Below are 24421 nucleotides of genomic sequence, written 5' to 3'. Positions count from 1 at the left end.
TGATAGAGGAACTTTGGGCTAAGGAACAAATATAAATAACATGTAAAATTCCAGTGGTAAGTCTGAATAATACTGATGAACTAAAATAATCACATATACAACAATAAGTAAATAAAAATGGGAAAGCCAGGCCAGGCACAGTGGTTCATGCCTGTAATCCCAGCACTTTGGGAGGCCTGGGTGGGCAGATCACTTAAGGTCAGGAGTTCAAGACCAGCCTGGCCAGCATGGTAAAACCCCGTGTCCACTAAAATACAAAAATTAGCCAGGTGTGATGGCAGGGGTCTGTAATCTCAGCTACTCGGGAGGCTGAGGCAGGAGAATCGCTTGAACCTGGGAGGCGGAGGTTGCAGTGAGCCTAGATTGCAACACTGCACTCCAGTCTGGGTGACAGAGCAAGACTCCCTCTCAAAAAAAGAAAAAAAAAGGGAAGGCCAGTGATCCCCTTAATTGTACTAAGCTGTAGGCAGAAGGGGTGTTTGACCATAGGCTAAAATGCAAAAGCTGTACTCTGAAGAGAGTGAATTCTACTTGCCTAGAGTGGTGGAGGAGCTGAGAGAAAACCAAAGCAGGGCCTGAGGCAAATCCAGACTTCCAACACAGAAAAAGTGGAAATGCAGACTGGCAGGGGAAATCCATGAACTAAAGTGCTTGACAAATAAAGACCTCCTTGTTGCTACCAGCCAGCCTACCTGTTCTTGTCCCAAATTAAAGCTATTCTCATATATTTATACATTTCCCACTCAAGGGAAAAGACCTGTTGAGGAAATACAGATGAATATTCTAATCACGTTAGGAGCCCATACTATGTTATTTTATCCTAACATATTTCTATAATGCTATAGTTACATTGTCATACTTTTCTGTCACAAAAATATGTATGTAAATGGAAACTGATTTGTCTTGTAACTGAAGGCTCAAAATGTTAAACATTTCTAACATTATACAATTGCATAGTTGATCCAAATTATACTATCTTTTCACATTTTGACAAGTATTAAATGTAAAACTCATGCTTCTGTTGGACATGGCACTTAAAAATTATTCATACATGGATACATGGACAGTACTTATTGAGATAGATTTTACAACCAATTTTATTTGTCCTTCACTTTTATTGATATAAAAACTTAGAAACCATGTTCATATAAATAATGGGTAAATTAAGGAATAAAAGTGACTTTGTTATAGCAATGTCACTGACTTCTACAAATACTTTCTAAGTTATATGTCAAAACAAGTCACATAGTTATCTGTGAACAAAAACAGAGATGCTGCAGCAGACTCTGAGAAAAGGAAATACTAAAGGTATTTTAGTATTTAGTCTGCTTTAGTCAGATAATCCCAAGGAGAAGCTATGAGATACAAGAATGAATGAAGGGTAAACTGGGAAATATATAAGTAAATGTAAACAAATGACTATTTAAAAGACTATTAATGATGATAGAATTAAATATGTAGTAACAATAACATTTATGTCAGGAGGGGATTAAATGGAGCTCCAGTGTTAAAAAATCTGTATTATCCAGAAAAAGGAAGATATTGACAGATTTGGAGAAGCTAAAAGTGCATGTTGTAATTTCTATTGTAACCAGGAAAAGAAAAGAAATATTTCACCAAAATAATCAGGGAGTGGGCACCTAGATAAAGGTATGAATCAAGCAAGATGGACCACATGATTATTGAAATGGATGATGCCCCCAGAATTGGGTTTCATTATGCCAATCTCTGTACTTTTGTATATGTTTGAAAATTTCTATGAAAAAAGCAAAATTTTTTTAAAAAAAGAATGTATAACTTCTAGTAGAGGGAAAGTTCATCAATACTTTATTTATATGCCCTTTGTAGGAAGTTTTAAAACAAACCAAAGAATAGTTTTGTTTTGTTTTTTTAAGAGATAGCATCTAGCTCTGTCACCCAGGCTGGAGTGCAATGGTGTGATCCCAGCTCACTGCCCCCTCAAACTCCTGGGCTCACCCGATACTCCTGCCTCAGGCTCCACATTAGCTAGGACGACAGGCACATGCCAACATGCCCACCTAACTGTTTTTTTGTTTTTTGTAGAGATAGGCTCTCACTATGTTTCCCCAGCTAAAAAGTATAGTCTTTAGAGATGCATACATAGATGGTAAAATTATATTAAGTAAGGAAGTGATTACCATCCAAGTCAGTTAGTGATTTGCTCTAGAGGTTAAGAGTGAGTTTAATTTAATACTCAATTAATTTCGATATTTTCTTGCTTTCCAGTGAATGACATTTAACACTATAAATTTGCTTCTTCACATCACACTCTGGCCACATCCTATTAGTTTCAGTATACAGTGCTCCACTGTCCATTCCAATTAGTTTGTCATTTCAGTTTTGGTTTCCTTTTTAAGCCAAGAGTTATTTGGAAGGGTGAGTTTTTCTTTGTTCCTTTCTTTGTTCTTTCTAGAAACGGCTGCACTGTACCCAGGGAATACTGCTTGAATAATGTCTGCATTTTCAAATCTGTGGAAGTTTTGTTTTGTATTTTTCTTTATGCATGTTTGATTTTCACATGTGGGTTGTATTTCGCAAGAAAAAATGTTCCAAAAGAAAACATAGATATGGAAAAATACTAAAAAAATGCTAATAACAACATTAGTATGACAGTATTAAAAACAGAAATCATTAAGTGGGAAAAAGAGATTTTATTATGATAAAAGGAAATTTAACTGTAGTAAAATTTTATGCACTGAATTACATGGGTTCAAAATATCAAGTAAACAGTATTAGAAAAATAATATAACATAATGGAAAACTTTAACACACCTTTCTCAGGAATCAACAGATCAAGCAATCTAAAAACAAATAAGGGTAGAGAGGAGTTTTAAAACTTTTTATTATTATAAAATTTTAGACTACACAAAAGTAGAGAATACAAACCCTACTATAACCCAGCTGTAACAAGCACAAACATTTTGGTTCATCTGTTTAATCTATCCATCACTCCCTTTTATATTTGCTGGGCTATTTTAAGCCAAATTCCATACATGTCATTTATCTCCAAAATATACACACATATAAACATTTTCTTAAATAACCTAATATCATTTATTAAATAAAAAAGATATAAAGGATTTGAACACTATTAATGAAATCTATTAGTACTTAGTATTTATAAAAAGTGGAATATCTATAAAAATGGACCATTTACCAAACTACTAACAAAATTTCCATAAATTTCAAAATGTGAACATATTCCCTGAACACAATACAAAAGAGTCAAATTAATAATTAAAACAGGGGGAGGAGCCAAGATGGCCGAATAGGAACAGCTCCGGTCTACAGCTCCCAGCCTGAGCGACGCAGAAGACGGGTGATTTCTGCATTTCCATCTGAGGTACCGGGTTCATCTCACTAGGGAGTGCCAGACAGTGGGTGCAGGTCAGTGGGTGCACGCACCGTGCGCGAGCCAAAGCAGGGTGAGGCATTGCCTCACTCGGGAAGCGCAAGGGGTCAGGGAGTTCCCTTTCCTAATCAAAGAAAGGGGTGACGGACGGCACCTGGAAAATCAGGTCACTCCCACCCGAATACTGCACTTTTCTGACGGGCTTAAAAAACGGCGCACCACGAGATTATATCCCGCACCTGGCTTGGAGGGTCCTACCCCACGGAGTCTCGCTGATTGCTAGCACAGCAGTCTGAGATCAAACTGCAAGGTGGCAGCGAGGCTGGGGTAGGGGCGCCCACCATTGCCCAGGCTTGCTTAGGTAAACAAAGCAGCCGGGAAGCTTGAACTGGGTGGAGCCCACCACAGCTCAAGGAGGCCTGCCTGCCTCTGTAGGCTCCACCTCTGGGGGCAGGGTACAGACAAACAAAAAGACAGCAGTAACCTCTGCAGACTTAAATGTCCCTGTCTGACAGCTTTGAAGAGAGCAGTGGTTCTCCCAGTACGCAGCTGGAGATCTGAGAACGGGCAGACTGCCTCCTAAAGTGGGTCACTGAACCCCGAGCAGCCTAACTGGGAGGCACCCTCCAGCAGGGGCACCCTGACACCTCACACTGCAGGGTACTCCAACAGACCTGCAGCTGAGGGTCCTGTCTGTTAGAAGGAAAACTAACAAACAGAAAGGACATCCACACCAAAAACCCATCTATACATCACCATCATCAAAGACCAAAAGTAGATAAAACCACAAAGATGGGGAAAAAGCAGAACAGAAAAACTGGAAACTCTAAAAATCAGAGCGTCTCTCCTCCTCCAAAGGAACGCTGCTCCTCACCAGTAAGGGAACAAAGCTGGACAGAGAATGACTTTGACGAGCTGAGAGAAGAAGGCTTCAGACGATCAAATTACTCTGAGCTACGGGAGGACATTCAAACCAAAGGCAAAGAAGTTGAAAACTTTGAAGAAAATTTAGAAGAATGTATAACTAGAATAACCAATACAGAGAAGTGCTTAAAGGAGCTGACGGAGCTGAAAACCAAGGCTCGAGAACTACGTGAAGAATGCAGAAGCCTCAGGAGCCGATGCGATCAACTGGAAGAAAGGGTATCAGCAATGGAAGATGAAATGAATGAAATGAAGCGAGAAGGAAAGTTTAGAGAAAAAAGAATAAAAAGAAACGAGCAAAGCCTCCAAGAAATATGGGACTATGTGAAAAGACCAAATCTACGTCTGATTGGTGTACCTGAAAGTGATGGGGAGAATGGAACCAAGTTGGAAAACACTCTGCAGGGTATTATCCAGGAGAATTTCCCCAATCTAGCAAGGCAGGCCAACGTTCAGATTCAGGAAATACAGAGAACGCCACAAAGATACTCCTCGAGAAGAGCAACTCCAAGACACATAATTGTCAGATTCACCAAAGTTGAAATGAAGGAAAAAATGTTAAGGGCAGCCAGAGAGAAAGGTCGGGTTACCCTCAAAGGGAAGCCCATCAGACTAACAGCGGATCTCTCGGCAGAAACTCTACAGGCCAGAAGAGAGTGGGGGCCAATATTCAACATTCTTAAAGAAAAGAATTTTCAACCCAGAATTTCATACCCAGCCAAACTAAGCTTCATAAGTGAAGGAGAAATAAAATACTTTACAGACAAGCAAATGCTGAGAGCTTTTGTCACCACCAGGCCTGCCCTAAAAGAGCTCCTGAAGGAAGCGCTAAACATGGAAAGGAACAACCGGTACCAGCCGCTGCAAAATCATGCCAAAATGTAAAGACCATCGAGACTGGGAAGAAACTGAATCAACTAACGAGCAAAATAACCAGCTAACATCATAATGACAGGATCAAATTCACACATAACACTATTAACTTTAAATGTAAATGGACTAAATGCTCCAATTAAAAGACACAGACTGGCAAATTGGATAAAGAGTCAAGACCCATCAGTGTGCTGTATTCAGGAAACCCATCTCACGTGCAGAGACACACATAGGCTCAAAATAAAAGGATGGAGGAAGATCTACCAAGCAAATGGAAAACAAAAAAAGGCAGGGGTTGCAATCCTAGTCTCTGATAAAACAGACTTTAAACCAACAAAGATCAAAAGAGACAAAGAAGGCCATTACGTAATGGTAAAGGGATCAATTCAACAAGAAGAGCTAACTATCCTAAATATATATGCACCCAATACAGGAGCACCCAGATTCATAAAGCAAGTCCTGAGTGACCTACAAAGAGACTTAGACTCCCACACATTAATAATGGGAGAATTTAACACCCCACTGTCAACATTAGACAGATCAACGAGACAGAAAGTCAACAAGGATACCCAGGAATTGAACTCAGCTCTGCACCAAGTGGACCTAATAGACATCTACAGAACTCTCCACCCCAAATCAACAGAATATACATTTTTTTCAGCACCACACCACACCTATTCCAAAATTGACCACATACTTGGAAGTAAAGCTCTCCTCAGCAAATGTAAAAGAACAGAAATTATAACAAACTATCTCTCAGACCACAGTGCAATCAAACTAGAACTCAGGTTTAAGAATCTCACTCAAAACCACTCAACTACATGGAAACTGAACAACCTGCTCCTGAATGACTACTGGGTACATAATGAAATGAAGGCAGAAATAAAGACGTTCTTTGAAACCAACGAGAACAAAGACACAACATACCAGAATCTCTGGGATGCATTCAAAGCAGTGTGTAGAGGGAAATTTATAGCACTAAATGCCCACAAGAGAAAGCAGGAAAGATCCAAAATTGACACCCTAACATCACAATTAAAAGAACTAGAAAAGCAAGAGCAAACACATTCAAAAGCTAGCAGAAGGCAAGAAATAACTAAAATCAGAGCAGAACTGAAGGAAATAGAGACACAAAAAACCCTTCAAAAAATTAATGAATCCAGGAGCTGGTTTTTTGAAAGGATCAACAAAATTGATAGACTGCTACCAAGACTAATTAAGAAAAAGAGAGAGAAGAATCAAATAGATGCAATAAAAAATGATAAAGGGGATATCACCACCAATCCCACAGAAATACAAACTACTATCAGAGAATACTACAAACACCTCTACGCAAATAAACTAGAAAATCTAGAAGAAATGGATAAATTCCTTGACACATACACTCTCCCAAGACTAAACCAGGAAGAAGTTGAATCTCTGAATAGACCAATAACAGGATCTGAAATTGTGGCAATAATCAATAGCTTACCAACCAAAAAGAGTCCAGGACCAGATGGATTCACAGCCGAATTCTACCAGAGGTACAAGGAGGAAACTGGTACCATTCCTTCTGAAACTATTGCAATCAATAGAAAAAGAGGGAATCCTCCCTAACTCATTTTATGAGGCCAGCATCATTCTGATACCAAAGCCAGGCAGAGACACAACCAAAAAAGAGAATTTTAGACCAATATCCTTGATGAACATTGATGCAAAAATCCTCAATAAAATACTGGCAAACCGAATCCAGCAGCATATCAAAAAGCTTATCCACCATGATCAAGTGGGCTTCATCCCTGGGATGCAAGGCTGGTTCAATATACGCAAATCAATAAATGTAATCCAGCATATAAACAGAGCCAAAGACAAAAACCACATGATTATCTCAATAGATGCAGAAAAGGCCTTTGACAAAATTCAACAACGCTTCATGCTAAAAACCCTCAATAAATTAGGTATTGATGGGACATATTTCAAAATAATAAGAGCTATCTATGACAAACCCACAGCCAATATCATACTGAATGGGCAAAAACTGGAAGCATTCCCTTTGAAAACTGGCACAAGACAGGGATGCCCTCTCTCACCACTCCTATTCAACATAGTGTTGGAAGTTCTGGCCAGGGCAATTAGGCAGGAGAAGGAAATAAAGGGTATTGAATTAGGAAAAGAGGAAGTCAAATTGTCCCTGTTTGCAGATTACATGATTGTATATCTAGAAAACCCCATTGTCTCAGCCCAAAATCTCCTTAAGCTGATAAGCAACTTCAGCAAAGTCTCAGGATACAAAATCAATGTGCAAAAATCACAAGCATTCCTATACACCAACAACAGACAAACAGAGAGCCAAATCATGAGTGAACTCCCATTTACAATTGCTTCAAAGAGAATAAAATACCTAGGAATCCAACTTACAAGGGATGTCAAGGACCTCTTCAAGGAGAACTACAAACCGCTGCTCAATGAAATAAAAGAGGATACAAACAAATGGAAGAACATTCCATGCTCATGGGTAGGAAGAATCAATATTGTGAAAATGGCCATACTGCCCAAGGTAATTTACAGATTCAATGCCATCCCCATCAAGCTACCAATGCCTTTCTTCACAGAATTGGAAAAAACTACTTTAAAGTTCATATGGAACCAAAAAAGAGCCCGCATTGCCAAGATAATCCTAAGCCAAAAGAACAAAGCTGGAGGCATCACACTACCTGAGTTCAAACTATACTACAAGGCTACAGGAACCAAAACAGCATGGTACTGGTACCAAAACAGAGATATAGATCAATGGAACAGAACAGAGCCCTCAGAAATAATGCCGCACATCTACAACTATCTGATCTTTGACAAACCTGAGAAAAACAAGCAATGGGGAAAGGATTCCCTATTTAATAAATGGTGCTGGGAAAACTGGCTAGCCATATGTAGAAAGCTGAAACTGGATCCCTTCCTTACACCTTATACAAAAATCAATTCAAGATGGATTAAAGACTTAAACGTTAGACCTAAAACCATAAAAACCGTAGAAGAAAACCTAGGCATTACCATTCAGGACATAGGCATGGGCAAGGACTTCATGTCTAAAACACCAAAAGCAATGGCAACAAAAGACAAAATTGACAAATGGGATCTAATTAAACTAAAGAGCTTCTGCACAGCAAAAGAAACTACCATCACAGTGAACAGACAACCTACAAAATGGGAGAAAATTTTCGCAACCTACTCATCTGACAAAGGGCTAATATCCAGAATCTACAATGAACTCAAACAAATTTACAAGAAAAAAACAAACAACCCCATCAAAAAGTGGGCGAAGGACATGAACAGACACTTCTCAAAAGAAGACATTTATGCAGCCAAAAGACACATGAAAAAATGCTCACCATCACTGGCCATCAGAGAAATGCAAATCAAAACCACAATGAGATACCATCTGACACCAGTTAGAATGGCAATCATTAAAAAGTCAGGAAACAACAGGTGCTGGAGAGGATGTGGAGAAATAGGAACACTTTTACACTGTTGGTGGGACTGTAAACTAGTTCAACCATTGTGGAAGTCAGTGTGGCGATTGCTCAGGGATCTAGAACTAGAAATACCATTTGACCCAGCCATCCCATTACTGGGTATATACCCAAAGGGCTATAAATCATGCTGCTATAAAGACACATGCACATGTATGTTTATTGTGGCATTATTCAGAATGGCAAAGACTTGGAACCAACCCAAATGTCCTACAATGATAGACTGGATTAAGAAAATGTGGCACATATACACCATGGAATACTATGCAGCCACAAAAAATGATGAGTTCGTGTCCTTTGTAGGGACATGGATGAAATTGGAAATCATCATTCTCAGTAAACTATCGCAAGAACAAAAAACCAAACACCGCATATTCTCACTCATAGGTGGGAACTGAACAGTGAGATAACATGGACACAGGAAGGGGAACATCACACTCTGGGGACTGTTGTGGGGGGTGGAGGGGGGAGGGATAGCATTGGGAGATATACCTAATGCTAAATGACGAGTTAGTGGGTGCAGCACACCAGCATGGCACATGTATACGTATGTAACTAACCTGCACAATGTGCACATGTACCCTAAAACTTAAAGTATAATAATTAAAAATAATAATAATAATAATAATAATAAAAACAAAAACTACTAGGAAACAGACAAAGAACCCCTGACCATTCTTCATAAATCCTGGGCTAAAAAGGAAATCAAAACTGAAATAATAAGCCAGTTCGAAAAGAAAGTGAGAGCATTATAAACTGAAACCATGAGATATGGTCAAAGTGTGGTGCAAAGAAGAAAACTGACAGCTTAAATGCCATTCATTAGATAAAAAATACAAAAATAAACTAAGTATTAAACTCAAGAAGCCAGAAAGAGATGATCAAATTATACCCAAGGAATAAAGGGCAAAAGAATTAAGATAAAACCAGACATTAAGAAAAAAAAGTAAAAAATAACAGGAGCAAAAAAATAAAAGTAGTTTGGTTCTTTAAAAAGAACCATTTATTAGGCAAAAACCTTTCACAGACTGACAAGGAAAAAATGCAAATAATCATTTAGAGGAAGAAAGAGGGTATAACTACAGAGGTAGAAGAGACTAAAACTTAAGGATTACTATGGACAACTTTACAACAAAGTTTACAATCTAAATGAATGATTTTCCTAGAAAATGTAACTTTCTTAAATTGACCTAGACAGACCAAGCGACCTCAAGAAAAACTGGAAAGACAGTTAGTTAGATCTATTCTTAGAAAGTTTTATCAAATCCCTATTATGTATGATAAACTTTCAAAGCTAGGATGAACAGAAAAAAAACCTCCCAGTTTAATTTGTATGACCAACATAATCCTGAATACAAAAGTGAGTCAGATTAAGACAAAAAATACTATAAGCTAATCTCACTTATGAATCTAAGTGTAAAAATCTCAAATAAAATACTAGCAAGTTAAATCTTTCAACAGATTAAAATAATCTGTCATGACCAAGCAGGGATCATGATAGTCCCTAAGCAAAACTATACAACACAAAAGCAACAAAACTTCAAGAAAAACCCTAACTTTCTGGCCAGAGGAATGGGTAAAGAAGCCTTGTGCAAGGCTAACAGTAAGGGGAAAATCTGTTTCTTTTTTCTCTTTTTTGTTTCCAACTCTGTCCAGAGAGAGGCCCAAGTCACAGAGCTGAAATGCAGTAATAATGAATCAGAAATCTAAAATCCTAACAGAATGCTTGTCTTGTTGGCAAAAGGAACCTAGAAACAAGGCCCCTAAGGCATCAAGAGAATAGGGAGAATCCCTGTTCCTTCATTTCTTTCACTGCATTGCCCCAAGGGCAGTCCCAGTTGCAGAGAATTATGTCAAAGCCTGGGAAGATAAATCTCAAAAAAAAAAAAAAAAAAAAATCTCAGTCTTCTAGGCAACAGACTAGGAAAAGGGACCCTGGGATCTGGACAGTGTAGGGAAAAATCCCAGGGAAAAGGGAGCTGGAGAATGGGATCTTCTCATTCTATGTATGGACCCACACAAATCAGCGTTTCATACCTAGGATGCACAAGTGTAAGACAGACCAAAACTAGCAAAAGAAAGGCTTTGAGATCTGAACTACAACATAGTCTACAACCCACCCAAGTTCTAGGCTAACTGCTAAAACAGACCTACAACAGCAAAGCAAAAGCCTTGAAAACAGAACTGACACTGGAAACACCATTCACAAAAAGTAAGACAGAACTTATGTTCTGACTGCCTGCTAAAACAGAACAAAATAAATCAATATTCTTCAGAGGATGTTAATAGAACCTACAGTTTTACAATACAGTACTCAAAATGTCCAAGATAAAATCCAAAATTACTCAGTATACAAAGACCCAGAACATCCCAGAATGCCAAATAAATTTCAGAGACAAAGAACTAAAACAAACCTTAAAAAAAAATTAAAACCCAAATTTTAAGTTTTAAAAGATCTTCAAGGAGCCCAGAAAACTGATGGTGGTATTACACATTTTTTTAAGCTTTCAACACATTTCAGCCAAGTCCATTTTATCCAGAGATGCAAACAAAACTGAAGGGAAACACCACTTTTGGTTTCATTACATTCTTGAGATCTGGGTGCCTGTGAAGTAGGGGCTGAGTGCTGTTCGTCAGTTTGGCCTTCATTTTGAAAAAACATACCAGTCACTTTGAATGAAATCAAATTGTAACTAGACTATATAGCTCTAACATTCTACTTCCACTGACTTGATAATAGTAAATTACTTGATACAGATTCAGAAACATTTTAGTAGTGCAAAAACTAGTTTTATACTACATTTTAATTCAATCTGAAAGGAGTAAGGAATGGTGAAAATAGCACCTAACCCTAGTTTCAGGATTCAAAACTAGGGATGGGTTTTTATACTCCATTGGTCTTTTTAATGCAAATATAGAATTCAGAGTGTTAGACAACTGTGTACCATCTTGCCTAAAAGAGCCCAGGATTTAGTTTATGTTGATACAAGATACAGTTCCATTAGTTTTTTTTTTCTTAATCCAACTCCTATACTGCAAGTAAATATGTAAATAATTCTTACTTTATAATTATTTTATCACAAACTTTACTAGAAAACTTTATTATTTTAGAGCAAGGAATATGCCCTTTAGGCATCTGAATAATTTAAAGTCAAAAAACAGGAGGAAACAGGTGCAACTAAAGACATCTTCATATGCTCAGAATGGCTACAGCAGTCCACAAAAAACTAACAGCAAGCCTATGTTCCAGAAAATATTACAAGTATTTGGAAACTAGCATCAGTGGAAGATATACTCACGTTTAAGTTATTTACCATGGAACTGTGAAATGTGGAGTACCACAGGCTCATCATATATCTCTGTGACTTCATTTAAACTGTTTGGGACTGTGCAACCTATGTGCAAAAGTCAGAATTCTACTCACAAAATTAAAATCAAAACCTGGCTACTTTAACTCACGATCACCTCAATGTTCTACTTTTCTTTTACATACCCTCACTCATTATTTGAGTACCTGCTACACTTCAGGTCTTGCAAATACAAAGATGATTGCAGTATAATAACTACAATTAATGACTCAGGTTGTGCATGACGTTCTTTATGTCCCTGAGTCCTCTCAAAAACCTGAGAGGTTACTATATACTGACTGTATCACCATGTCCCATTTTACAGATGAGGAACATGCCCTAAAGTCACAGCACTATGATTCTAGAATTTGAACCCAAGGTGATTTAACTCTAAAGCCTAAATTCTCAACCATAACCCTTCACTAGCTTGAAGGAACTCACTTTCTAATGAAATATACAAATGTAAATGAACACATTAAAACACAAAAGTAAATGCTTTCATTGAAATTTAAGAGCTGTGGGAATTCAAAGGATAGGAGCACTAATTCTGTCTGGAATAATGTCTACAACATGACTTTGAAAATAGTCTTTAAAGATCAATAAGTATCTTCTAGACTAAAAACTGGAGAAGAGAGTAGTCTACAAAGAGAAAAATGTGTTCAAAGGTTCACAACTGTAGAAGGGGGAGAGACATCCAAGAAACAATGAAAAATTCAATTGTCACAGCAGAGGGACAGTGGAAAGAGAGTAAAACATGGAAAAAGGAATTTTTACATATAATCTTTATTTTTCCCATGAAGCACAGAGGTGTTTTGAAATAGAAGTAACAATCAGCTTTCCTTTTTTATAAAGTTGAATCTGTTGACAATGTGGAGGATGGACTGGCATAGAGACTGGCGAGAAAAAATTCTAGGCCAGGCGCAGTGGCTCATGCCTATAATCCCAGCACTTTGGGAGGCCAAGGTGGGAGGACTGCTCGAGGCCAGGAGTTCAAGACCAGCCTGGGCAATACAGCAAGATCCCATCTCTACAACAGATTAAAAAAAAATTAGCCAGGCATGGTGGCATGTGCCTATAGTCCCAGTTGCTCAGGAGGCTGAGGAAGGAAGATTGCCTGGGCCCAGGAGTTTGAGGTTTCAATGTGCCAAGATCACACCACTGTACTCCAGCCTGGGTGACAGAGCAAGACTCTGTCTCTTAAAATAATAAAAAAAGAAAAAAAAGAAAAGTCTGTAATGAGTAATCAGTTGCAATAGTCCAAGTGACAAATGATAGCTTTTTTCAGATGAGGCAACAGGGATGGTGATAAGACAACTTCAAAGACCTAATAGTAAGGATCGGGTTTATGATGATGATTTTAACTAAAAATGAGATAACATATCTCTGGAAGAAACTAGTTTTAGACTCATGTTTTAGAACAGAGATTTCAAAAGGTTCATTCTGGGAATGTAAGAGGGAATATAATAGCGATTGCAAAGCACTCTGAACTGGGTGAGACGTTATAAAACCATATTAGGATTAGACACATCCATGGTAGTAATGTCTTTGAATCTGAGACTGACTTTCTATCATGTTAATTTCCCTGTGTAATGAAATGAGAATTCTTTAGAAATGTATTATCAGATATTTATGCTAACAGGTTATTTGGATACCAGCTGTCTCGTAACACTTTAGTAGTTAAAGGTAGTCAAGTCCAGAGAGAAGCTGGGAAGTATGTTACAAAACAAGGTTTAAGTCTTAAAGCACCACCCTATTTATCCTAAAGAGCTGAGAAAGAATGTAGGCTCTAGAACCAGAAAAACCTGGGTTCAGATTCCAGCTCTGTCACTTACTAGAGGTATGGGCCCACATAATTCATTTATTCTCAGTTATATCATCTGTATATTGGAGATAACAATGTGTATCTCACAACATTGCTACTAGTTCCTGGCACAGAGGTGGTAGTTATATTATTGTTACAAATAAATTTTTCCTTGGCATGTTTCTTACAATAGAAAATACCATACTTACTGCCAATTGTTTACATAAGTCATTGCTTCTTAAAATATGCCAAATGTCCAACAATGATAGACTGGATTAAGAAAATGTGGCACATATACACCATGGAATACTATGCAGCCATAAAAAAGGATGAGTTCATGTCCTTTGTAGGGACATGGATGAAGCTGGAAACCATGATTCTCAGCAAACTATTGCAAGGACAAAAAACCAAACACCACGTGTTCTCACTCAGGTGGGAATTGAACAATGAGAACACATGGGCACAGGAAGGGGAACATCACACACCAGGGCCTGTTGTGGGCTGGAGGGAGGGGGGAGGGACAGCATTAGGAGATATACCTAATGTTAAATAACGAGTTATGGGTGCAGCCCACCAACATGGCACATGTATACATATGTAACTAACCTGCACGTTGTGCACATGTACCCTAAAACTTAAAGTATAAAAAAAAAAATTTCCTCTAAAGCTCCCTTAGCCACAGAGTAAAGTGAAACACATACCCAAAGATTTGGGTATATAATCTGAAGCCAGCATAAAATTTTTAAGTTTTATCTTAATTATATTAGTGTGCATGCTGCACATAACCACATTTAATGGTTCAGATTTTAACTCTATAACATCCCTGTTGCCTCATCTGAAAAAAGCTATCATTTGTCACCTGGACTATTGCAACATATTTAAACATAACCATATTTAATAATAAAATGTTAATCTTCAGATAAAATTGGCAAACTAAGAAAATGTACCAGGTTTATACTACAGCAATGCCCACAATACAGTGCCTCAATTACCTCAAGATGTCTCAGATTAGATGGCATACTGTACAGATTATGCTGCCTTTGGCAAAAAGCCAAGAAAAAGCAGAACTACTTAACCTAAAACATAGACCTTTCCTATAGGCAAGAAAAATTTAAAAAATAAGTCCTTAAGATACCTACCTATACATTTTGTCCTGAAAATGTACTTGCAGACCTGCTTTAAGTGAAAAAAGCTTAAAATGTGGGCTATAGCTGGAAAAATAGAAGAAAGTAATAATTATGAATCTAAATTGTAAAACTTTACCTGTTTTCTTCTTTTTATCAGAAGTAGCATCCAAAGTAGTTAAGGGAGTAGAGACGCTTTTATAAGCATCTTGACTATATCCAGGATCATCTTCATCAGAAGAAAATGAAGATAAATGTTCCAAGTTTTTAAGTTCATTATCAACTTTATCTGATGGACTGTTACCGCCAGTTTCAGACACTAAAGGTGTGGGTGTTGTAGATGAAGGCTTGGGAAGTGGTGGGGGACAAAATGTACGAACCATCTGGGTCCCTGGCCGTCTAGTCCTGTTAGGCATTCGTACAGCAAGAGTGGAAAACTGCTGCTTGGGCCCGGATTTCAGAAAATCTAAGAAAGAAGCAATAAATCCTGTTTTGACTTCTGGTTGTTTTTCCTCCACCTCTTTGATCTTCTGTCTCATTTTTTCTTGATGCTGATAACCATCATGGCAGCTTTCTGAGGAAGGAGGAGTATACGGTAAGTAAATATCTGTTCCCCTTGGATTCTGGCGTTTGCCTTGGGCAGGTCTTTTCAGCTGTTTCTGATTACTGTTGTCTTCCTCTTTAACTTGCCCTTTTCCTTTAGCTCTTTTCTTTTGAAGGTTAAAATGCATTAAATCTTGGTTTTCTTCTTCAATCTTGACACTGACTGCATCCCCAGATTGGGCCATGGCCAACAGTGCAAGTGCACTCCTAGCTGGGTTCATTGACACACCACTGTCGTCACCCCCTAAGGTAAATTCACTCTCTGATGTAGCATTCTCTCCACTTATACTTCTACTACTAGAAACAAACTCTTGGTTTCTGTTATTATTTAATGTACTATCAACAGGAGCTTCACTGTCTTCTTCAGATTCAAGATTGGTAGCAGACTGTTTCTTGAATGGGCCAGAACTTTGCTCCTGGACTTCATGACTTGGTCCAACCACTGCTGAAGTTACTTTAGTTGGTATATTTTGACCAGGTGTTTCAATGTGCTGTTGATCAAGAGTCATTTTTGACTGAAGGGCAGGTACTGGTGAAAGGTTCACAGTAACCTGATTTCCATTTAAGGAAGTATCATTTATATTCTGTGGCTTTCCTACTGTAGCTGTCATAGAGTTAAAATCTGAAGTCACATGCCTGACATCTAATGACTGCTGAAAATGAGATTTAGAATCACCATCTTCAACAGCCTGCATGGTTTCATTTGAAGTTGACTTGGAAAAATCAGTAGGTGTAACTCCACAAGCTGCTGCTGTAGCTGCTAAGATATCATCTACATTTGATAAAATATTTCTTTCATCACTAAGAAGCACTGCCTCTGGGAAACACATCGATCCAAGAGAAACAAACTGATTCTTTGAATCATGTTGATTTGTTTCACTAAAATGGCCCTTTGTTGTTAGATGTTGTTGTAATGGTTTTGAAGACTCAGAGAGGTCCATTTTCATAACTTCAGAATTTTGAGGATGGAGTTGCTGCTGAGAATGATCACCATTGCTTTGAATAACATGACCTTCCATCTGAAGGAAGGGATGTACTATTTGTTGAGGGCTTTGAACACGCTGTGCTTGTAAAGATGCCTTTACTTGACCTAAACCTGCCTGCAGTATTGACTGCTGAAGAATTTGTAAATCACAGGCAGAATCTAAAAGGACCTGTGTATTAGGAAGAGATGCCTGATGGCCATGCCCTAAAGCATGATTTGGAATTTGAATCTGAGATGAAGCATTAATTATTTGATCGTGCTGTTCCTGGACCTTGGACTCATGCACCTTAAGTATGAGAGGATGTTGCTGCTTTAAGTCTTTAGTATTCAACCTTATTTGTGGAGTCTGTATTAAATTAGTTGAGTTCTTAAGATCAAGGGTAGCTGCATTATTGACTTGGCCAATTTGTTGGTTAAGTTGTGTCACTGAACCAACAACACTTTCTTCTTTTTTTGATGCTTGCAGAGCAACCCCAATAACTTGATCTTCAAGACGGGAATTACTTCTGATTACACTCTGAGAATATCTGTCATCTGCCTTTGACACCTTATAAGTTGATTCTTGAGCATTAATTTCTCCATCAGATAGCCTTTGGGTTGATGACTCAAGAGATGCTTGTGGCTGCAACACCTGTAACTCTTGCATTGGAAAACCATCTTCTTGCTTTGAAGATGGATACACATCTGAGTCAAGCTTTCTTTCAGCATAAGACTTTGGGTCAGGGGAAGTTATGTTATTTTGTAATGTCTGACAATGAGTAGAGGATGCAAAAGATGATGACTGGACAGCAGGCAAAAACTTCTGGGACTGGGGAGATGATGACTCTTGAGTCTGAACATTTTGGGAAGAATGCATAGAAATATAATTCTGGGTCGGGCTAGAGTCTGGCAAATTCTGAGCCCGAGAGGCAGAAGAATAAGAAAGAGAAGGGGCTGTTAATGTTAGGGACTCCCCTGAAGCATAGCTTTCTGAAAGACTAACAACTGACAAAACTTGTGATTGAGATGAATAGCTAACCTGTGTCTGGCTAACTGGTGATAAACCCTGAGAGTGACCAGATGAGTAACTTTGAGACTGACTTACTGAAGACAGATCTCTTGTTTGAGCAGGGTAATTCTCATTTGTAACTGAAGACAATACCTCTTGCTGATTAGATGAATAATTAAGCGTCTGATTTTCAGGAGTTACAGTCTGAGATGACCCAGAAAAAGTCAATGTTTTATACAAGGGTGGCAATTTCTCAACCTTGCTGGACCTATAAACCTGTGAATGAACAATAGATGGCACATTATGTGGCTGTACTAAACCGTAATTTTGGGACTGACTAACTGATAAAAGGCTTGGTAGCTGCGCTGTAGAATAAATTTGTGCTTGGCCCGATATTACAGAACTCTGATTATGTAAAGGTTTGGAATAGCTTAGTGTTTGCACAGGAGGAATTATACTTTGAGGTTTAGGGGTCTTGGTTGATGTCAGTGGTTGTTCTGTAGAACAGCTTTTTATTTTTGTAGTAGAAGGAGGATACCCTGATGATGGAATCGCAGATGAGTAAGACTGAGCAAGTTCCACTGAGACCTGGGAGGTCTTCTGTTGTAATCCTCCGTTGCTCACCTGAGTGGAATCTCCAATTGGGCTACAGGATAAAGATGACTGCCTGGTTGTTTCCTGAAAATTAACTACACTTGAATTTGATAGATAACTATGTAAGGAGTGCTGTGAACCAGTCAGTTGTGCCTGAATTGACTGGGTACCTGAAGGCCGCTGATGGTGTTTAATAACACTACATTCTCGAAGAAGAGCTCTTTCAATGGAAGCAGTAGAACTAGTAAAGAGAGTTGAACTGTAGGCTTGAGGAGTCTGCTGGGATCCCCCAAGTGCTGAAGGCAACAAACTAAATTGAGGTTGTAAAAGATGGGGTGCAGACTCTTGAGCTGAGCGGTATGTTGAAGACTGAGGTGGTATGCTGTTACTTAATACAGAACTGCCCAGGCGCTCAAATGCCAAAGCAGTTGGAACAGTTCCCTGGGAAGTCTTGATTTGTAGCAAAGGGTCATGATGACTTAAAATTCCATTTGATGTAGTGTTAAAAGTTGAATCCTGAAGCACCAAAGGTGAAGTGGTAGCAAAGTTTCTATTGCTGAAGGTGGTGGGATGCTGATAAGCAGAGAGAGATGGTGGAAGTGTTCCAGTGCTTGGCAAAGGTCCAGTAGCAAACAGCTCAGTTGCTGCTGAGGAATGCATGCCTATGAAGAAAAGGCACAAAGATTTTTATGTAATTATGGCACAATTACTTTATGTTTTCATAGTAATGACTTACATAACCCTCAACTCATCAAAATGTCTTAAGACTGAAAAACCTGACCAGTTAGTTCTGCATGTAAATTTTGAAAATTACATTTCAAAATAGCTAGCTTCTTTCTTTCTTTTCTTTTTTTTTTAAGAGACAGGGTCTTACTCTGTTGCCCAGGCTAGAGTGCAGTCTTGCGATCATAGCTCACTGCAGCCGCAGTGTCCCAAGTAGCTGAGACTACAGGCGCATACTCCCAAACCTGGCTAATTTTTAAATTTTTGTAGAGATGGGGTCTTGCAATGTTGCTCAGGCTATCTTGAACTCCTGGGCTCAAGTGATCCTCCTATCTCGGTCTACCAAAGTGATGGGATTATAGGTGCAAGCCACCACGCCTGGATTAGCTAGTTTTCATAGAGTAAAAATGAAGTTACAATGATATCAGCAATTCATATCTGTAATTGTTATATAATTTATATATAGTTTGATAAGGTCATAGGAAAATGAAGAAATCAGTAAAAATGTACATATCTCTAGTGATTAATTTATCCCAAAGTACCAACACAAAATACCAATGGACAAACCAAAATGTACATAACATTAAAATGGAAAAAAAAAAGCTAAATTGCCTACATCTAACATGATAAATAAATATAAAAAAACAGTGAACTGCAGTTTCTTTTACCAAAATATATTCACTTTAAAAATCTCTTGCATTTCAAGCTTTCACTTCCTATGAACAACTTCCCAATCATAATAGATGCATGTTTATCATGAAAAGTTGATCAGAAATTAACAAAGTACTGTCAGAAAGAGACTGTTAACATTTCAGGACAGCATTTTAGCCACATATAGCAAAAGTAAAAATGGGTTTACCCTTGTGATCTGAAAGTTCTATAGAAATTTATTCTAAAGAAATGAGTGCATACAAAAATATTTGTACCAGATATTCATTATAGTTATTGTTTACAGTAAGTAGAAACAACAAAAAGTCCATAAACAAGGGATCAATCAAATAATTATGGCATACCATAATAATACTATTGCCATAAACATTAAGGTGGATACATATGTTTTGACATAGAAGGATATCCAATAAAAATAACAAACTGTTAATTCCTCTTTGAAAAGTTAGGAACTATCACTTTCCACTTTATATACCTTTTTACTATTTAAATGTTTTATGTGAACCTCCATTAAATTTTTTTTTCATTTTTGGAAAAATGGGGAAAACAATTCTCTGGCTCTTTGAAAAATATTTTCCTACTTTCCATTAAATATCCAAAAAGAATTATTACTACAAAGATAGAAAATATCTAGTGGCACTTGAAAGAATAAATAACACTTAGAAATGTTTAAAATAATACACTGAACTAGAATAGACTTTTGAGATAACATAGTTCAACTCCTTTGTTCTAGCAATTAGGAAACTGGGGTTGACAGGTGATGTGACTTGCTGAGGGTCAAGTGATATTCATGAAACTCTAATCAATTGACTCTACTGCTCTTTACCAGAGATCTCCTATTGTTCTTTTGTGTGTGTTGCGGTGGGGGGTTTAAAACATAATAAGTAAACAGTAATAAAGAACCGACATTTAACTAAATGTAAAGTTACAAATAATGGATTGATTCAGTTTTAGTCGTTATTATGAGGTGTTTTATGTCACATATGTCAAATCATGTTTAAAGAACCAATTGTAATTACATAGTGACTGACATTATCACAGTTATGCCTAGAATGAGGAAGAGGCTAGTTAGAAAGGACAGAGAATATCTGGGGCTTAAAGTGGTAGTAAGGAGCTTCTATTTCTTGAAATCCTTCTATCCAGTAGAGTGATAAAAGATCTTTCTCACTTCACTTACTTCTGCATGATTTATTAGATTAATGTAGAAGGGAGTCACAGAGGCTAGCAAATTCCCCACAGTATGCCCACAGACGATATTTTGAAATGCATCTAATGATCATATTGTAATCTCAAACATGCCAAAAGATGATGTTCCTTATCCTAACACACTAACACTAATACCTTCTTCCAACTAATGGTGTATTTATATGTTGTGTATGTTTTTGTCTCAATTTCATTTTTATTTCCCATTTAGAGTACATTAGTTTAGGTCCAGTTTAATGTGCTCAAAAATCCATTAAATTCCTTTTAAATGGCCGTATGATAGTAAAATCAGTCGTGCTCTAAGAAAAAATAAAAATAAAAAAACTTCTACCTACTAACCTGGGAGTCCAAGCCCTTCTGAATGCAATTCACTTATGGGATCAGATACAAATTGCAAAAATGAATTGTTAAAAATTGAATCCTAGGCCGGTCGCTTTTGGGAGGCTGAGGCAGGCAGATCGAATGAGGTCAGGAGTTTGAGACCAGCCTGGCCAATGTGGTGAAACCCCGTCTCTACTAAAAATGTAAAAATTAGCTGGGCGTGGTGGTGCATGCCTGTAATCCCAGCTACTCAGGAGGCTGAGGCACAAGAATCACTTGAACCTGGGACGCAGAGGTTGCAGTGAGCCAAGATTGTGCCATTGCACTCCAGCCTGGGCGACAGAGTGACACTCTGTCTCAAAAAACAAAACAAAACAAAATTGAAACCTAAAAAACCACAAAAACTTTAAAAACAAACTATACAAGAGTAAAAACACTTCACAGAAATATTAACAGATTTTCTTTTGTTTTATTTTAAAACTTCTTCAACTCTCAAGTTTCAGCATGAATATACTGATAGGAAAATCTAACTAAATACATGAAATATATAATTATTTCAGGAAGTAAAAAATAAAGCTATGTTTTAAAATATTATTTTATTTCACCAAATCATTGATTATCCCCTTAGAAGCAGGAAAAAAAATGTTGCTAAGGCAAACTGAGAAACTTCTATTAGTGGAATTTACATCAGAATGTTAAAATACTATTTCCTATACCTATCCTTTAAAAACATATTCTCAAATAAACTATGACATTTCTTAAGACAAAACTCCAAAAAAAATTCCTGTCATACTACAAAAAACAGAAATATATAGATATAATTTCTGATGAGAAACGGTTGAAAAGTAAAATAAGAAAAATGAAATAGAAAAGCACATTATAGACCTTGTAATTATTGCTGGAAAATGGGCACATCATAATATCAACTTGTAATGTCTCTTATTAGTGATTTAATCTATCCAATTAAGGATAACTTTATATAAAACTAACAATGAAATGAGTCCCAAGATTTTTTTTACTATAACACCTACCCATTCTGAAGTCACTAAAATAAATTTTAATCTTTGCTTCTTTCAAGTAGACAAGTAATTGCTAGATATAAACCTTATATGAGACCTTCTTTAATCATTATCTACCCCTCAATGTCAACTTACTAGTTTTTGTCAGAATGCTAAAACTAAATTTCTGCCAGTAATAAATTCTTGAATTTTATCCACCTGAAAATTTTGAAAAATTCCAGGTCTTAAAGTTCAGTGGAAAATCAATATTGTAACAAAACTCCCAGCCACAATGACAAGGCCATCAAATGTATATGTTTCATCAGCATTTTTATAGGACTTAAAAATTCTAGAAACAGAAAATCACCTGTCTGCCAGGATGGAGCCCTGAATTGTGGTAAGAGAGTAGTTCCTGAAGCAGCAGCCTGAGCAGTTCGGGATTCAGCAGTAGACAGAAAATTCATCACTGAAGACTCTTTAGTGTTACTGCTGGCACTGTTCACACTAGTATCAAATATTCCAGAAAGACCTAAATTTGAAGATAAAATATATCCCAAAGTAAAAAAAAAAAAATTTACTTGTATAAATTATATTCCTGACTCTATTTTAAAATTTCTGAAAATTAAGGCCAAAACATTCTACAACCCCAGATGGTTTTATTTTGATAGTAAACATATTAATTTGACCAAGCATATTTATAATTTAAAATCTCCAAAGATGCATGAAAGAAGATCTTTTAATTTATTAATTATATAAATATTCCGTTGGTAAAAACCAAAGCTTTGGTCGGGCGTGGCGGCTCATGCCTGTAATCCCAGCACTTCTGGAGGCCGAGGTGGAAGGATCACAAGGTCAGGAGTTTGAGACCAGCCTGGCCAATATGGTGAAACCCCGCCTCTACTAAAAAATACAAAAATTAACCGGGCATGGTGGCAGGTGCCTGTAGTCCCAGCTACTCGGGAGGCTGAAGCAGGAGAATCACTTGAACCCGGGAGGTGGAGGTTGCAGTCAGCCAAGATCACGCCACTGCACTCCAGCCTGGCCGACAGAGCGAGACTCCATGTCAAAAATAAAAACAAAAAACAAGCTTTTACTCTCATTTCATTTCCCATGGCATGAGTATGTCCTATACATTCAGAACTCAACACATGAAAATTGGTTTTTCTTCTTATTCACTAAATGTACCCAGACTCGTAGTATAATTCACAAGAGAATTGTTACCAGTAGGCTGAGGTGTGGGAGCATATCCAGGAAGCTGATGAGAGGCTGCAAAACTCTGTCTCTGAAGGAGATCTGTTTCAGAGTGTGAGGGATGTCCTTCTTCATAGCTTAAACTAGAGGACATTAAAAATCAGTGACCAAAATACACAGTCCAAACCATCTGATAAAAAAAACTTCTAGAAGAACAACTATAAAAGTAGTAGAAACCTTTGACCAATTTCCTGACCTATAGATTCGTGGATCAAACACAGTCTGACAATACTATCACAATGGAGGAAATATATTTAAGATGCATTAGTAAGAAAAATAATACACAGTATTTTCTTTAATTCAATTCTACCTCAAACAAGAGTCTTTTTACTGGGAGAGGTAATGTGGTACAGAAGAAAAAGTAATATCCTGGACAACAGAGAGGTGAATTCATTGTACAGGCTCTACTTCTGGCTTACAGTGTAATTTAAATAAGGGACTCAATTATTGTTGGACTAATTTCATCTGTATAAAAAAAGGACCAGATGAAATAACCTCCATAACCTCTCTAATTATAGTATTCTATGGAATAACAGATAATTCAAATAAATAATTAATACTATTTCCCAATAACTCACTGAGAAAACTTCAAGCTCAAACATTTTCAGAGTAGCCCAAAACAAGATTTTTCCCCCTCTTCTTGGAAAGGAAAGGTTATGTTTTTATTTTGAATATTTTAAACCCATAGAAAGAAATCAAAAATACAATGAACACCATATACCTGTCCCTTAAGATTCAACAACTATTAAGATTTTGTAACATTTATTTTCCTCTATACACACATACCCACTTTTCTTTTTTTTGCTAAACAACTTGAAAATAACTTGGAGATATCATCAGTTGCATCTCATAGGAATAAGGACATTCTTATATAACCAGATATCATTATCAGACTTAAACACATTTAGCATTAATTCAATAATCATGTAATATATAGGTCATATTCCAGTTTCCCCAATTATTGCCAAACATCTAAAAGTTTTAAGCTCTTTTTAACTAGGATCCAATCAAAATTCAGTAATTTCATTTGGTTATTTCTCTAACTTAGTATCAGTGCCTTCACCCAACCCCTAATCCCAAATCCCTTGACCTTTTGAAGAATCCAGGGCAACTAAATTATAAGATGTCCCAAATTCTG

General features: G+C 37.3%; 1 protein-coding gene across 9 annotated transcripts in view, besides 1 other annotated feature; it reads right to left on the bottom strand.

Annotated features, from left to right (window-relative positions):
* QSER1 (glutamine and serine rich 1) overlaps positions 1 to 24421 on the bottom strand; it is an 87460-nt gene that overhangs the window by 29748 nt on the left and 33291 nt on the right. For 4 of the 9 annotated variants that reach the window (NM_001076786.3, NM_001416037.1, NM_001416036.1 and 1 more), the window contains exons 2-4: positions 23254 to 23366; positions 22400 to 22561; positions 15088 to 18780 (exon numbers count right to left, since the gene is read on the bottom strand). In NM_001076786.3, coding sequence (NP_001070254.2) covers positions 15088 to 18780; positions 22400 to 22561; positions 23254 to 23366 — 3968 coding nt within the window. Of the gene's footprint in view, positions 1 to 2793; positions 2823 to 14963; positions 18781 to 22399; positions 22562 to 23253; positions 23367 to 24421 lie in introns of those variants that run through there. The other 5 variants (NM_001416038.1, XM_017018330.2, XM_047427611.1 and 2 more) reach the window with 4 other exon arrangements.
* Positions 3415 to 3565: a silencer, noted in NCBI's record as "fragment chr11:32968504-32968654 (GRCh37/hg19 assembly coordinates)". NCBI's record gives its function as "represses an EF-1alpha promoter that drives an FKBP-Casp9 reporter gene in an ReSE screen in K562 erythroleukemia cells {active_cell/tissue: K562}" and the evidence as "EXISTENCE:reporter gene assay evidence [ECO:0000049][PMID:32094911]".

Source organism: Homo sapiens, chromosome 11 (genome assembly GCF_000001405.40).
Source record: "Homo sapiens chromosome 11, GRCh38.p14 Primary Assembly".
Taxonomy (NCBI): Eukaryota; Metazoa; Chordata; class Mammalia; order Primates; family Hominidae; genus Homo; species Homo sapiens.
This window is presented reverse-complemented; position numbering and strand designations above follow the sequence as displayed.